Source organism: Homo sapiens, chromosome 11 (genome assembly GCF_000001405.40).
Source record: "Homo sapiens chromosome 11, GRCh38.p14 Primary Assembly".
Classification (NCBI taxonomy): domain Eukaryota; kingdom Metazoa; phylum Chordata; class Mammalia; order Primates; family Hominidae; genus Homo; species Homo sapiens.
In genome coordinates this window covers 78,153,896-78,171,025 of record NC_000011.10, presented here as the reverse complement: position 1 = coordinate 78,171,025, position 17,130 = coordinate 78,153,896, and the positions used below count along the sequence as shown (strand labels likewise).

The window sequence follows — 17,130 nt, the reverse complement described above, 5'->3', positions numbered from 1 at the left end:
TCAGTGCTCTTGCAGGAGGTAGTCATGGTGGACTCTGGTGGGGGACTAGGAGTCCCAGGAGAGTGGAGTTTAACAAGCCCTTACAGAGCATTTGCTGCGTGGGCCCTGAGGATGTGAACAGCCACGAGTAAGCTAAGTTCAGCCTGGAGAAAGTTTAGAGCTTCACACAACGTGCTTTGGGAACTCAGGGAAAGGGCTCAGTTCTCAGAAGGAGCCTTGTGGATGGCCAAGGTGGGCCTCTGAGGGTAGGTCAGGCTTGACAGAATAAGCAAGAGAGTGCCGTGGGCACAGGGAACAGCAAGAGCAGAGCTGGCAACCAGGCAGGAAGGGCAAGCAAGGGAGGGTATGCGTTCACACCACAGCTGCACAAGGGGAAGGGGGGCACGCAGTGCATCTCGTTGCCTGCGTCCAGGTTAGGTGAACTCAGCCTTCTGCTTGGCAAAAGCATGAGAAAGACGGAGAACAAACGTTCAGCAGTGATGGCAGCACCATCGACAGACGGGTGAGTCTGAGTGCGAACTGTGAGCAGGGATGTGCTGCTTGTGAGCCCTTCATTGCCCTGGGTGAGACCTTGTGGTGATCTCACCTGGACCCAGTTTAGCCTTTTATCCCGCCAAGGGCTCCATCCCAGCTGAAGGAGCAACGCCGGGAACACAACACTCGTCAGCTCTCAGTTCCTGCCCTAGGTGTGGTCCCCTGCATGCAGAGGGACAGAATGGGTGCTTGAGGGAACCCTAAGCACCCACCTTGGTGTGACTCCTTCATGAGGCCCACCACCAAACAGGGACCCTGCATGCTTGAAGGCCAGCAGCAGGCACCACTCTGACCTCATGCCCTCAGCACCTCCAAAAGCCCTCCACCCTCTTAAGAAGGGCCTAGCCTCATGACCCTGGTCTGCCTTTGGGCCAGATCTCCCTGTGCAGGGGTGGCCAAGGTCCCCACTTGCCCACACCTCAGAATTTGCAGCCTAGGACGCAGCCACTCTTTTGTAAACTGCACCCTAAATCACACAGCATTTGTGTAACCACCCATTCACCCCAAACTTCCAGCTTCCTTTTACAAATTACTCTTAAAACAGTCTGACTTTGGGAGGCCGAGGTGCGCGGATCACGAGGTCAAGAGATCAAGACCATCCTAGCAAACATGGTGAAACCCCGTCTCTACTAAAAATACAAAAATTAGGCATGGTGGCACATGCCTGTAGTCCCAGCAACTTGGGAGGCTGAGATAGGAGAATAGCTTGAACCTGGGAGGCGGAGGTTGCCGTGAGCCCAGATTGCACCACTGCACTTCAGCCTGGCAACAGAGTGAGACTCCGTCTCAAAAAAACAAACAACAACAACAACAAAATAGTCATCAGGCTAGGTGTAGTCGCTCAGACCTGTAATCCCAGCATTTTGGGAGGCCAGGGTAGGCGGATCACTTTAGGTCAGGAGTTCGAGACCAGCCTGATGAACATAGTGAAACCCTGTCTCTACTAAAAATACAAAAATAAGCCAGGCATAGGGGTGCGTGCCTGTAATCCCAGCTACTCGGGAGGCTGAGGTACAAGAATTGCTTGAACCTAGGAAGCAGAGATTGCAGTGAGTCAAGATCACACCACTTCACTCCAGCCTGGGCGACAGAGCAAGAATGTCTAAAGAAAATAATCTTTAAAAAAAATCCGTCTGTCATCAGTGGGGGCTTAGCCAAGGTCAGTCCTGGGCCAATTTCTTGGCCCAAGAAATTTCAGCCTATCCCTTTCCTGAATTGCAGTCTCTCCAAACTGACTGCCTACGTCTGCCTGTGTCCCAGGGGGCTCTGGGCTGATGGGGGTGGCTGGCTGGGAAACGTGGCCTGTGATCAGCTCCAGGAGCAAAACAACCCTGATAACAGGCCCATCAAAGGGAGGGACGAGAGTCTGGCAGCTCTGTCTGCCCAGACAGCCTGGTGACCTCAGTCTCCTTCAGAACCTTCGGGACAGTGTGGCACCAACCGAGCTGTGGAAACAGTCCAGTGACACACTCGCCCCAGTCTGGGGCACAGGGACCAACGGGGGCTCACCAAGCAACCCATGGCACCCAGGACCCCACCCGACACAAGGGACAGCAAAACAAGCTTTGAGGCGGGGCTGTCTGGCTCTGAGGCGCATGAAGAAGTGCACGCTCAGCCTGCTCTATCTGACCCCTCCCCACTTGTTTTCCTAGTCCCGTTTCCTGCCAACTTCCCTGCCACTCCCACCGCCCCACCACCAAAACACAGGGCATTTCACAGCCTTTGTCAACATTTCCCGGTTAGCTGGCAGCCCCAGAGTGTTCTAGCCTATTTGCTTCCTTACGCCAAGTCCCTCTCCAAAGCCTGGGTTCCCCTTTACCAAAGAGTTGGGCAAAGGCCTTGTTGAGCCACATTTGAAATCCCTAGGGATCCTATCAGCTAAAGAGCAAAGGTTAATGTGTTATGACATGGATACCCTTCCCCAGCCCTAATTAGTTCACTTTATACATCCTATGTTGGATTTGCTTACTCTACACCTTTTCGCTTGACACCTTGTATTAAGTTGCCAAGTGCCTTCACATCCACAGTTTCCTTTCACAGAACCACAGGATACGTCTTGCCATCCCACACTTGTCTGGGCCTCCCTTTACCACTCTGTCTTCACAGCTCATCCTTCAATACTGTGTAAGCCCCGCCTCCTTAGCTCCACGCAATAAAGTCAGTCCCAGCCCCTGCTGTGCCACCCTATACCTGGTGAGCACTTTCGTCATCACACCGCACTTGTTCACAGCTAGTGCTGTACTGGTAAACAAAGCCCTGATCTGTAGTGTGGGCCAATTTCCCACTAAATACCGTCACCATCGTCAGTTTCAAAGAAATACTGCCAGCCAGGTGCAGTGGCTCACGCCTGTAATCCCAGCACTTTGGGAGGCCAAGGCAGGCGGATCACCTGAGGTCAAAAGTTCAAGACCAGCCTGACCAACATGGAGAAACCCTGTCTCTACTAAAAATACAAAAAAAAAAAAAAAAAAAAGCCGGGTGTGGTGCCACATGCCTGTAATCCCAGCTACTCGGGAGGCTGAGGCAGGAGAATCACTTGAACCTGGGAGGTGGAGGTTGCAGTGAGCCGAGATCATGCCATTGCACCCCAACCTGGGCAACAAGAGCAAAACTCCGTCTCAAAAAATAAATAAATAAAATAAAATAACTACTGTCACCATGGTCAGTTTCAAGCCACTAATGGGATGTCACCATCAAGCTGGAAGACAGGCACACAAGAGGCTCTGGAGAGCCAGGGTGAGGAACTCCAGCCCCCCACCATCTTTCTGGCTGATCCACATGCTGGTAAGGGCAGGGGCTCTGTCGTGCCATACTAGGGACTGGCCCCTAGCATCTTCTCCTGCCCCTTCATCTTGTGACACTAACCTGTGAACATAATGCTTACAGATGGAGCAGTCCTGTGATTTCCGTATTTTCCAGTGTGAACTGCTGGACTGTATAAGCACTGCTGGGCATAAAATGACCAGCAAAGTGGAGTCACTCAGATGGCATGTCACACCACTGACATGCCCATGAATGTAGATGGAAAGCTTTTGTGAGGGGGAGGCTCACTCCCCTGAGACATAGTGCTTACCACCTTCTTAGAAGACAAGCCAGGTTAGACAAACCGAGCCACCCTGCCCCCAAACCCCAGCCCCACCATTCCTGAGCAGAGAGAGGCTCTCCATGACAGCCCCATGTCCTGACCTAAGCCAAGCTAAGACAGTATAGAGAAGACAAGAGACTGGGTCACCAAGACCCCCTGGGCCTCACATGTCCAGGCATATTCCCTCTGCTGCCTTCTTGTATCCGTTAACAAGCTGACCCACGTCACATAGCAAAGGGGGACCTCTCTCCTAAGTTAGCTGACCAGGCTGAGTTTGTAACCATAAAAATAAGAAACTAACCATTTATGTCCTTGAGTGCTGTCTCCCAAGGTTGCTAAAAGCAGGCCTCTGGCATTCCTGATAAGAACCAGACCACATGCAGTTGGCTGAAGACAAGATGGACTCCAGCACTGACCTTTCACCAAGTTTTCCTTATAATAATCACATCGTAATACTAAAAATCACACCCAGGGCTGGAGATTTAACGCACTAATGAGACATATGATGCATGAGAAACACATAGTCAAACTGCGCAGGTGCTAAAAGTTCCCCATCCCTACATGCCTACATGTCACTCCTTTTTCTCGCCTCAGCTTCCTTAAAATGACAAGAGCCAAGTCCTTCCAGGAGCTAGCACCAGGATCCCTTTCCCATACAATGCTCCCGCGCAGTTGCTCCAGACGCAAGCCTATGAAACCTTGCCTGAGTAAAAGTTCTGTTTGGCCTGGTGTTAATTTCTTTCTTTTCTTTTTTTGTGAGGGGGGTGGGGGACGGAGTCTTACTCTGTCGCCCAGCTGGAGTGCACTGGCATGATCTCAATTCACTGCAACCTCCACCTCCCGGGTTCAGGCGATTCTCCTGCCTCAGCCTCCAGAGTAGCTGGGACTACAGTCACGTGCCACCATGCCCAGCTAATGTTTGCATTTTTAGTAGAGACGGGGTTTCACCATGTTGGCCAGGATGGTCTCGATCTCTTGACCTCATGATCTGCCCGCCTCGGCCTCCCAAAGTGCTGATATTACAGGCGTGAGCCACCGCACCCAGCCAGGGTTCATTTCTATTTACATGAGAGCCAAAAACTACAGGTCCAAGCTGGGATAACAAAGCCACTCCCGCTGCTTAGAGTACCCCACTGATAATAGGAGTTAAGAAGAAATCACTTAGGCAGATAGTAAGGATATGGGAGTCCTCGGTAAGGCTTTTCTTTTTAATGAAAAGCAGCCCAAAATCATTTTCTACCAAACAGCAACCTATAAAGTCAAGCTGCAGATACAGACAAACAAGCTGGGAGCTTGCATGGCTGAATGTCAGCAGGAACTAGGGACTAGGGAGGGACTAGACATGTTCAAGATGGGGGCTCCATCATCCCTTCTTTGCCAGCCACGTGTACAGTAAGGAGCAGACAAGATGGCACCAGCCAAGGAGAGTTCATTTGCATCATAGGATTAGGGTGGGGCAACAAGCCTTCCTTGCGCTATGTAAATATCACACCTGATCAAAACAATCTGTGATCCCTACATAAATCAGACACCACCTCCTCAAGCTGGACTATAAAGTCTGGTGCATCCACCACCAGCCAGTCTTTTCCACTCAGAGACCCCTCTCTCTCTATAGAAAAAGCTGTTTCTCTTTCTCTTCTGCCTATTAAAACTCCGCTCCTAAACTCCTCGTGTGTGCCCATGTCCTAAATTTTCCTGGCGCAAGGAGACGCACCCCAGGGTATATACCCTATACAATGTAGCTACTTCACCACAGTGGTCACCCTTCCCACCTGCCCTCTCCCTAGCCCTCCCCCCAGGGGTCTTCCAGTGCCCACAGGTTGGCATCTCCTTGGGTCTGAGAAACAAGAGCTCATCACATGTTCTGTTTACAGACTGAATGCTTGTGTCCCTATAATACCCCTAAGTTGAAACCTAACCCCAGTGTGATATTTGGAGGGATAGGCTTTGAGAGGTAGTTAGGTCGTGAGAGTGGAACCCTCATGAATGGGATTTGTTCCTACAAAAGGGACCGCAGGGCTGGACACGGTGGTGAACATCTGTAATCCCAGCACTTTGGGAGGCCGAGGCAGGTGGATCACCTGAGGTCAGGAGTTCAAGACCAGCCTAACATGGTGAAACCCCATCTCTACTAAATACAAAAAAAAAAAAGAAAAGAAAATTAGCTGAGCATGGTGGTGCATGCCTGTAATCCCAGCTACTCGGAAGGCTGAGGCAGGAGAATCGCTTGAATCCGGGAGGTGGAGGTTGCAGTGAGCCAAGATCGTGCCATTGCACTCCAGCCTGGGCAACAGAGTAAGAATCCGTCTCAAAAAGAAAAAAAAAAAAAAACGGGCATGGTGGCTCACGCCTGTAATCCCAGCACTTTGGGAAGCCAGGTTGGGCGGGTCACCTGAGGTCGGGAGTTCGAGACCAGCCTGACCAACATGGAGAAACCACCATCTCTACTAAAAATACAAAATTAGCTACACGTGGTGGCGCATGCCTGTAATGCCAGCTACTCAGGAGGATGAGGCGGAAGAATCGCTCAAACCCGGGAGGCAGAGGTTGGGGTGAGCTAAGATCACACCATTGCACTCTAGCCTGGGCAATAAGAGTGAAACTCCGTCTCAAAAAAAAGGGACCCCAAAGGGTTCCCTTGCCCTTTCTACCCCATGAGGACACAGGGAAGACAGACAGCTATGTATGAGGCAGGAAACCAGGCTTCACCAGACACCAAATCTGCCTGTCCCTGATCTTGGACTTGGACTTCCCAGCCTCCAGAACTGTGGGAAATACATTTCTGCTACCCAGTTTATGGCATTTTGTTATAGCAGCCTGAATGGACTATGACATTTATAAATACTGTTAAGCATCTGCCATGTGCCAGGCCCAGGGCGAGGTTCTGGGAAATCAAATACAAGCCCCCAAACATTCCTCCCCTGGGAACTCTGGTGGGGGTGAGGAGCAGATAAACAAATTCAAATATGGTAGCCAGTGCTAAGTGGGAAGTCTGCTCCAGGCAGAGTGGACCGCAGAGATAGGATGGCCAGCTTTAGCAACAATGCCTCAATGGACACAGCACTTTACAGTTTACAAAGCACTTTACTTCCTTTTCTTCATTTCATCCTCATAACAGGGCTCTGAGAAAAGATGCACAGGAGGTATTTTTTTTCATAGATGGGAAACTAGGGTTCAGGGAGGTGATCACATTAGGTGTAAGTATAGTGCCTGGCACATAGTAGGCCTTGGCTAATATTAAATTGAATTAAATATCATTTAATTCAAGTTAAATGACCTGGTTGAGGCAAGAATCCAGCCTAAATCCTCCCTTGGGATTATTTCCACTCAACTTTGAGGTCAAGGACAGAACCAGGCTTCCCAGTGCCAAGACTCTGACCCAGGCTTTCCACTGTCGCACCAGGCAACCCTGAGCAAATCACTTCACTGTCAGCCTGAGAGCTTCCTCGGCAAAATGTGCAAGGTATTGTTGGGCTCTACCAGCTAGAAGTCTCTTCTAGCCAGAGCTGAAAGGAAGCATGATCCTCCTATCCAGGGAGATATGCAAACAGAGACCAAAAAATCCCTTGATGGGGCTGCCATGGAGGCTTCAGACTAAGGACTGGCCCCCAGCATCTTCTCCTGCCCCTTCATCCTGTGACACGAACCTGTGAACATAATGCTCACTGACAGAGCAGTCCCTTGATTTCTGTATTTTCCAGTATGAACTGCTGGACTGTATTAAGAGCTGCTGGGCATAAAATGAACAGGCAAAGTGGAATCACTCAGATGGCATGTCACACCACTGACATGCCCATGAGTGTAGATGGAAAGCTTTTGTGAGGGGGAGGCTCACTCCCCTGAAACATGGTGCTTACCACCTCCTTAGAAGACAAGCCAGGTTAGACAAGCTGAGCTACCCTGCACCCCTACCCCCGGCCCCACCATTCCTGAGCAGAGAGAGGCTCTCCCTTACTTGGTTGCTAAGTGAGGGGGATCTTGTAGAAGCCTGTCAGAATGTGACACTCACAGGCTATTTTTTGGCATAGAATCTGAGAATGCTGTGCTAGAAGGAAACTTCTGACTGACCATCCAAGGTGAAGAGGAAAGAGAACTGGCTTTAGGTAAGGCAGAACAGGTCCAAACCCTGGCCCTGCCTTGGTAAGCAGCACCATCTTTCTCAGTCTCCATGACTGCATCTCTGAAATGGCAATAAAAATGCCTGTGTTACCCATCACATAAGGTGATGATGAGGATTAAAGGAGACAGTGCATGGAGAATGCCTGGCTGCCTCCTCTCTGCTCTCTTCACTCCTTGCTCTCCACACTGGACGGAGCTCTCCGGGAGCGGAGACCACATCTCACCCTGTATACCCCCAGCCCTCAGCACACCACCCAGAAAGGGCCCCCAGTTCACATTTGTTGGATGAGTGACTGAACTCAACTGCTTTACCCACGAGGAAACAGGTCCAGAGAGGCAGAGGGACCTGGCCAAGTCCACAGCCAGGGAGGGAAAAGCCAAAACCGAACCCCGGGACCCCTGACTCCCAGCCCTGTCTCTCACACACACACCATCTTGTGCATGCAACATTTGGCAAAGCCCTCTTTGCACTTTTGTTTACTTATTGAGACAGGGTCTCATTCTGTCACCCAGGCTGGAGTGCAGTGGCATCATGATCATGGCTCACTGAAGCCTTGACCTCCTGGGCTCAAGTGATCCTCCCACCTCAGCCTCCAGAGTAGCTGGGGCTACTGGTGTGTGCCACCACACCTGGCTAATTTTCTTCTTCTTCTTTTTGTTTTTGTTTTTTTTTTTTTTTTTGTAGAGATCAGGTTTCACCATATTGCCCAGGCTGGTCTCGAACTCCTGGGCTCCAGTGATCCACACACCTCGGAGGGATTACAGGCATGAGCCACCATGCCTGGCCCCTCTTTGCACTTTGGAGCCTTTCATCTTTCAATTTCTTGGTTGATGAGTAGCAGCTTTAGAGCAAGAACCCAGGTCTGTCAGATGCCCACGCAAAGGGCTCATTTTACAAGGCCCACCAAAAAGCTCAAGTGGGACCTGTGCAGCTTTTGAGATCTGTTTCCCAGCCGTGGATTTAGCCAGTTTTCCAAGTGAGGAGACTTGACTGGGATGGTGCTTCACCATTCCACTTCCTGTGTGGACGCTGATACTGGACAGCAGCCAGCGTCTGCGGCCCCAGACACATGGCCTGCCCCCCCTCCACCTCAGTGGATCCTCACTGCCAAAAGCTAAAAAACAGGACCTACTGTCTTTCATCAATTCTAAGACACAACACATATTTTTTTCAAATTTCAGCATCTCTGAGATCAGAGTGAGACTTAATTGATGGTGTCTTACAATTACAATTTCTAGTGTTTATTCTTATACGGTATTAATAGAACATAAAACAAACTTGTGTCTTGAAATTGTCTAGGATGAAACACAGTCCAGTATTGGCCAGCTGGGCAGTGTCACTGCAGGTCTGTGCACTGTTCCACCTGGGCTATTTAGACCCTGGAAGTTCACTTCCTTCTGAGCTCACTGTCCCTTATTTCACCAATAGCGAACATAGAACCACAAAGCCAGCCACCCGCAAGCCGAGGAGAGAGGCCCTCACTAGACACCAATCGGGCCAACACCTTGATCTCACACTCCTAGCCTCCAAAACTATGTGAAATGACTTCTGCTGTTTGAGCCACCCAGGCTGTGGCACTTTGTTACAGCAGCCCTAGTGAACTAATCCAGTGAGGAAGCTGAGGCACAGACAGGTAGAACAGTGAGGAAGGGGCTAAGAGGGATTTTGCACCCAGGCTGTTGGCTCCATAGCCCATGCTCCAAACCATGACCCCCACCACAGAGGAGGCCTCATGGCTCCAGCCCAAAGCAGTGCCACTGCTCAAGGGCACTCCTGCTTCCCAGCGCACGGGTAGGCCTGGCCACCCTAGATGGGTTCCTAGCTGCTCCTCTACCTCAAATTTTTCCAGCTCAGTATGGAGTACAAAACCAGGATGGGCCTGGGACAGAGGGGAAGATGGACCACAATGGTAGGGCAGAGAAAGTACACACACACATGTGCACACACACAGCCCTTGTATCCAGGGTTCTTGTCTCCTAGAGCACTGTTCTTTCTGCCTCTTCACATTACCTTTCTGCCTCTTACACTACCAAGGCAACCCCATAGTCTGATGCTCAGCCCTGGTATGAATCTTGTCATTAAAAATCCGGTACCGGGTTACAACTACCACTGGCCAGGCACCATCGGGATCGTTGTGTGTATCATCTCATTTAATCTTGACAACAATCTGAGAGGTCACAATCATAACAGTCATTGACAAGTGAAGACACTGAGGCCTAAACAGATTAAATGGTCCAAGGAGTGAAGCCAGAATGTGGCAGAGCTAAGATTCAAGACCAAGTCTGTCTCAGGCAGAGGCCCAGAGCTACCAAGCTGCACAGCTCCAGGGACTCCATTCAAACAAAGTAATAGCATATGATATGATTTGTGCTCCCAGGAGCTGTGCAGCCCCCAGCTCTGCAAAGCTTCTCTTCTCCCAACCTCCTAGTGCTCCTGATCTAGGGATGTAGAAGCCAGTTCCTGAGTCTCCATGGGGCAGGCACTGTTAGGCCCTGAGGGCACAGACCTGAGCCTATCCTCTTAGCTGGCATCACCTACTAGGGAAGATGGGCAAGTAAACAATTTCAACATAAATCAGATTGTGTTAGAGGGGCAAAGGTAAAAGGGGTGAGAGAGCTGAGAGAACCAGGGACCACACTGAGGGGAAACGGGATGGTCAGAGATGCCTTGCCAAGGAGAACACCCTTATGATGGACAAGTAAAAGTTTCCTAGGCAGACAAGGTGAGGAAGGCCATTCCAGCCATAAAGGACATCATGAATAAGTAATCATCACTGGCCAGGTGTGGTGGCTCACGCCTGTAATCCCAGCATTTTGGGAGGTAGAGGCAGGAGGATCCCTTGAGCTTAGGAGTTTGAGATCAGCCTGGGTGACATAGGGAGACCTCATCTCCACAAAAAATTTAAAAATTATCCAGGCATGGTGGTGCACGCCTGTGGTCCCAGCTACACGGGTGAGGTGGGAGGATCATTTGGGCCCAGGAGGCTGAGGTGGGAATGAGCCATGATTGTGCCACTGCACTCCAGCCTGGGTGGTAGAGCAAGACCCTGTCAAAAAGAAAGAAAAAGAAAAAAAAGGGCCAGGCACAGTGGCTCAAGCCTGTAATCCCAGCATTTTGGGAGGTAGAGGCAGGAGGATCCCTTGAGCTTAGGAGTTTGAGATCAGCCTGGGTGACATAGGGAGACCTCATCTCTACAAAAAATTTAAAAATTATCCAGGCATGGTGGTGCACAGCTGTGGTCCCAGCTACACGGGTGAGGTGGGAGGATCATTTGGGCCTGGGAGGCTGAGGTGGGAATGAGCCATGATTGTGCCACTGCACTCCAGCCTGGGTGATAGAGCAAGACCCTGTCAAAAAGAAAGAAAAAGAAAAAAAAAGGGCCAGGCACAGTGGCTCAAGCCTGTAATCCCAGCACTTTGAAAGGCTGAGGCGGATGGATCACCTGAGGTCAGGAGTTCAAGACCAGCCTGGCCAACATGGTAAAACCCCATCTCTACTAAAAAAATGAAAATTAGCCAGGTGTGGTGGTGCACGCCTGTAATCCCAGCTACTCGGGAGGCTGAGGCAGGAGAATCGCTTGAACCCAGGAGGCGGAGGTTGCAGTGAGCTGAGATTGTGCCACTGCACTCTAGCCTGGGGAGCAGAGTGGGACTCCATCTCAAAAAAAAAGGAAAAAAAAAAAGAAAATTCAGACTAACCAGAAAACACTTCCTCTCCAAAGTCCCCACCATTTTAAGCAAAAGGGAGGAGGATCCCTAGTGAATTCTGTCCAGCTTCACTCAGTGCCCTGCTGGCTAGCAGCCCCAGCTTGAGTGTGGAGTGTTTTGTTCTGCTGTTTTGAGGACCGGGTCAGTAAAACACATCTCAGGATTGTTTGTCTGTTTTTCCCTGTTGCCTCATGACTTCAGACAAGACGAGCCAAAATTCACTCTCCCACCAGCATTCTCAAAGAAGTCCTCTTTGGGATGAAATAAATGTAAGACAGAATTAAGAAAGGCTCAAAGATGCATGAAGGCTTTTCCAAACATTCCACACACAGTTGGGATGGCGTGAGAGAGAGCAGGGCTGGGTGTCAGGAGCCCTGGAGTCTGGCCTCAGCTCTTTCTCTCACTGGCTGTGTGATATGGACAGGTCCCTCTGCCTCTCTGGATTTGTTTCCTTGTGTGTGAAGCAGTGGAGTTACTCATTCAACTCGTTCATGTTTGTTGAAAACACAAATGAAAGACCCACAGACAAGCACTGTGCTGAGGGCTGGGGATACTGAGGCGTGAGTCAGGGTCCTGTTTCAGACGACCTCCCCATCCAGGACTGGGAGCAACTTGTAAGGGGAACAAAGTGGAGACAGGGACAACCTCCTTCCCCTGGTTGGAGAAGCAGGTGGGGCCAGGGATGCAGTATCTGGGCTGGGCTTCAAAGGGCAAGTAGAGTTTGCTAGAGCCAGAAGTTGGGGAAGGGCATTGCAGCAGAGCAGAGGCTCAGCGACTTGAAAGAGCAAAGCCACTCTGCAGCAGAGGCAACAGAGAGGAGTGGCTGGGAATGGTTCAGGGTCCAGGCAGACCACCTGGCTTCAAGTCCTTGCTCTATCAGGAATTTGTTTCACCTTTCTGGGTCTAATTTTCTCACCAGACCAATGGAGATAATAATAATACTTAACTGATAGGGTTCTGTAAGGATTCGGTGAATTAATGCATGTAAAGTGCTAGAACAATGACTGGTACACACTCAGTGAATGATGATCAATATTACCATTATTCTTTTGTTTTGTTTTGTTTTGTTTTTGTTTTGTGAGAGAGAGTCTCACTCTGTTGCCCAGGCTGGAGTGCAGTGGTACGATCTTGGCTCACTGCAACCTCCGCCTCCCGGGTTCAAGCTCTTCTCCTGCCCCAGCCTCCCAAGTAGCTGGGACTACAGGCGTGCACCACCATGCGTGGCTACTTTTTGTATTTTTAGTAGAGACGGGGTTTCACCATGTTGGCCAGGCTTGTCTTGGACTCCTGGCCTCAAGTGATCCACCCACCTCAGCCTCCCAAAGTGCTGAGATTACAGGCATGAGCCACCACCCCCAGCCCAATGTTACCATTATTCTATGTAGTCTATGCTAGAGACTAGCTGGAGTCTAGGCTAAGAGAATGGCTAAAAAAATATACTGAACCCAGATTATGAAGAGTTTTGTATGTTATATTGATTCATTCCAATTACTGTCTATCTGGTCCTGGGGATAATGGTGCTAAATTGGAGCCATATCCTGCCTCTAAGTAACGACCCCAGAGTAGGGATGCCAGGCGTTGCTGAGGGAGGGAAGCAGCTAAGGTGGAACAGAGTAGAGGAAATCCGTGCAGGCATGTGCCCTTCATCATCACGCAGAATTTTAACAGTAAAGGGGCCTGCCCTGATGGAGCCTGCATTCAAATGTGGATGGAGGCTGGGCACAGTGGCTCATGCCTGTAATCTCAGAACTTTGGGAGGCTGAGACAGGAGGATATGGGGATGAATTTGGAACACAGATGCAAATGTCATTGTAGATACCATTTAAGCAAGGACTATTTGACATGTTCTGCAGTGGAATTATCCCCTACATATACCCACCCTCCTCTGCAGTGGTCTACTGCTGAGACCCCAGCATGCCTCCTGGTCAGGCCAGGAGAGACACGAGAAGAGAACCTTTGCACAGGAACTTCATCCCTTTAATCATTCTAATTACCAAATCTTCCAAATTCTTCAAGGTCTAGTGCAAATGGCCTCTCCTTAGTCCCCACTCCTGATATCCTATTGTTTATTCATAACAATATAGGCCAGGCATGGTGGCTCACACCTGTAATCTTAGCACTTTGAGAGGCCAAGGTCAGTGGATCACTTGAGCTCAGGAGTTTGAGACCAGCCTGGCCAGCATGGCGAAACCACATCTCTACTAAAAATACAAAAAATTTGCTGGGCGTGCTAGTGTATGCCTGTAGTCCCAGCTACTTGGGAGGCTGAGACCGAAGAATCACTTGAACCCAGGAGGATTCAAGCCTAGATAGTGCCACTGCACTCCAACCTGGGTGACAGAGGGAGACTCTGTCTCAAAAAAAAAATGAATATTAATAATAATTTATTACGACCTTACAAAAAGCCAGTTGCCATGCTAAATTATTTACAAACATAATTATTCAGTTGAATCTTCATAATGACCTTCTGAGATAGGTGTTATTGTCTTCATTCTATAGATGAGAAAACTGAGGCTGAGAGATGTGAAGCAATGTGTCCAAGGTCAGAAAGCTGGTGACTGAGTCAGGATTTGAGCCCAAGTGTAGCCACTAACCACTGCCCTGCACTATCCCACCGAAGTGAGCACTTGCTCCTTGGAACTCCCTTGATTCTTTGCCTGGACTCTCTCAGGGCAGGATAATTTCCCAGATCTACTCTGGCTCCGAGAGCCTAGGGTTCTGGGATTGTCAGAGGGCGTGGTGATGGGACCAAGGGCCTTCTTGATGGCCCTCTAAGAAGCAGCACCAGGGCTTCTGGTGCTGGGTTTTTTTCTAAAAGCACATCCTCCCCCACTCAGCCCTTTGTGCAGGATGCATCGTTAGAATTCCTGGACTCAGCTTCTGAATATTGATTGTTTGCAGGAGCAAGTCAGCAATTTGTGGTTTCCCGGCAATGGCTCTGTGTTCTATTATAGAACTTGGCTTGTTTGCATTTCCATCATCAGGCTAGGCACAGGCCCGGGTCTGGCCTACCCTTTGGCCTGGTGACCTGAAGCTATCCTGATTGAGTCCTGTGGTCAGGTCATCTGCCCAGCTCCTCAGAGATGGGACCACAGGACAGGGCACAAGGCCTAGGTCTGCTATCAGAAAGATCAAACTCAAACAAAATATAGCTCTTGCCAAGGAACAAATCATGCCTCTTTTTTTCAAATGCCCATTTTGGTATTTTAAAGGAAAACAAGTAGGTTTAAATCCAAGGTGGCAGTGTTGATAAGGGCATGGGGAAACAGCACTCTCGTATACTATTGGTTGGGTATAAACTAATGCAATCTCTTTGAAAGATAAAGTGGCACTATACATTGACATTTTAAATGTGCAAACCCTTTAATGCAGTATTTCCAGTTCTCGAAATTTATCTTACATCTCTTCTTACACATTATGCAAACATGTATGTATGTACAAAGATGTTTACCCTTGTATTATTTATAATAGCAAAAAAGTTGGTAACCTAAATTACCATCAGTTGAGAACTTATTAAATAAGTAAATTAGTATTTAACAACACAATGGAATACTTTGCAGCCAATTTTTTTTAAGACACAGAGTCTCGCTCTGTCGCCCAGGCTGGAGTGCAGTGGTGTGATCTCAGCTCACTACAACCTCCGCCTCCTGGGTTCAAGCAATTCTCCTGCCTCAGCCTCCCGAGTAGGTGGGACTACAGGCACACGCTGCCACACCCGGCTAATTTTTTTTTTTTTTTGTATTGATGGGGTTTCACTGTGTTGCCCAGACTGGTCTCAAACTCCTGAGCTCAGGCAATCCGCCTGCCTTGGCCTCCCAAAGTGCCAGGATTACAGACGTGAGCCACCACGCCCAGCCCTTTGCAGCCATTTTTTAAAAGAAGTAGATTTGTACATGCTGAAATGGAACATTCTCCAAGACATACCATTAAATTTAAAAAGCAAGGTGCAAGGGGACAAAAGGCTGAGTGTGATTAGGCATTGAGCGTGCATGCATATAGAACAAAATTCTGGAAAAATAGTCAGAAACTATCAGCAACGATTACTTCTGAGGGAAAGGCCTAGAGTGAGACAACCTCTTCATTGATTGCCAGTTTGAACTGTTTCCCCGCCACCCATGTGCTTATATTACAAAATATCCATGTTGGAAAAATATATTCTTATTCAAACCAAACCCTGCTCGTCAAAGCATTGCAACGGCCTCCCCACTGATTCTTGTAGACTGAGCGCTAAGACCTGTTAAGCCCTGTTGCTCTGCTTCATGCAAAGTTCTGCTACCTAATGTGCATTTTCATATAGGAGGTAAGGAGGTAAGGATCAGTATCTCAATTTTATAGCTGATGAAACGAACTTGAAAAAATTAAGTGAAGGTTAGTTTAGTTTAGTTTTTTGATTGTCTGTTTTTGAGACAGGGTCTCACTCTGTTACTCAGGCTGGAGTGCAGTGACGCGATCTTGGCTCACTGCAACCTCGACTGCCAGGGCTCAAGCTTCCTGGGTAGCTGGGATTACAGGCTCCCGCCACCTCACCTGGCTAGTTTTTTAAATTTTTTGTAGTGACAGGGTTTTGCCATGTTGCTCAGGCTGGTCTCCAACTCCTGGACTCAAGCAATCCCCCTGTCTTGGCCTCCCAAAATGCTGGGATTACAGGCGTGAGCCACCAAGTCTGACCATGAAGTTTAGTTTTATGTGTCAATATGGCTAGGATATAGTACCTACTTTATTAATCAAACACGAATCTAGGTGTTGCTGTGATGGTATTTTGTAGATGTGGTTAACATGTACAGTCAGTTGACTTTTGAATAAAAGAGACTGTCTTCAATAATCTGGGTGTGCCTCATCCAATCAGTGTAAAGGCCTAAAGACCAAACTGAAGTCTTCCTTGGGGAAGAAACTTACTGTGGATTGCTGCTTCCACTCCTGCCTGAGTTTCCAGCCTGCTGGTTTGCCCTGCAGATTTTTAACTTGCCAAGCCAGCCCTGACGAGCAAAACAGCCAATTCCTTGCAATAAATAAGTAATCAATCAACTGCCTTTGTAACCCACACCGTGCCTACAATAGTGTCGTGAATATATTTATTTTCTGAGCCAATGTTTATGAGGCATCTGCTCTGCGGCAGATTCTATGTTGGGTATTGGGGAAAACTCTATTTAAAAACATTACTGCCCACATTTGTCTCCATCTCCAATGGAAAGGCCAAATATTTTCAGAAGCCACTTAAGTAGGCAAGGCAGTAGTAAGTCACAGCTGTGAGTCCAGCATGTGAACACAGTCTGATGCTAGAGTGCATAAATTTACTACTACGCAATGCCATATTCCTATGGTTAGAATAGGCTAGGGAATATCACAAACCTGGGCTCAAATCCCAACTCTACCAATTTCTAGAATGTGACCTTAGGTAAGTTGTCATGTCTCTCTGAAACTGTAATTTTCCCTATCTATAAAGTGGGCATAATATTTATATCTACCTCTTAAGATTGTTGTGAAAATTAAGAGTTCATCCATGGAAAGAATTTAGCACAATACTCTGAGTAAGTGCTGGGTAAATGTTTCTATTATTACGTTTCCCAGAAAAGCTGAGTCCCCCAGGTATGATTTGGAAGGAGAGGAAGAGCCTGTTTCTGGCTTCTAACTGGAGCCTATGCTTCCCAGCCTGTCAGAATGGCCACCAGCAGGCTGTAACCTTT

General features: G+C 48.8%; 1 long non-coding RNA gene across 2 annotated transcripts in view; it reads right to left on the bottom strand.

The window, feature by feature from the left end:
• Positions 1 to 17,130, bottom strand: part of KCTD21-AS1 (KCTD21 antisense RNA 1) — a 34,185-nt gene that overhangs the window by 2,952 nt on the left and 14,103 nt on the right. The gene's annotated exons all lie outside the window — the stretch shown is intronic.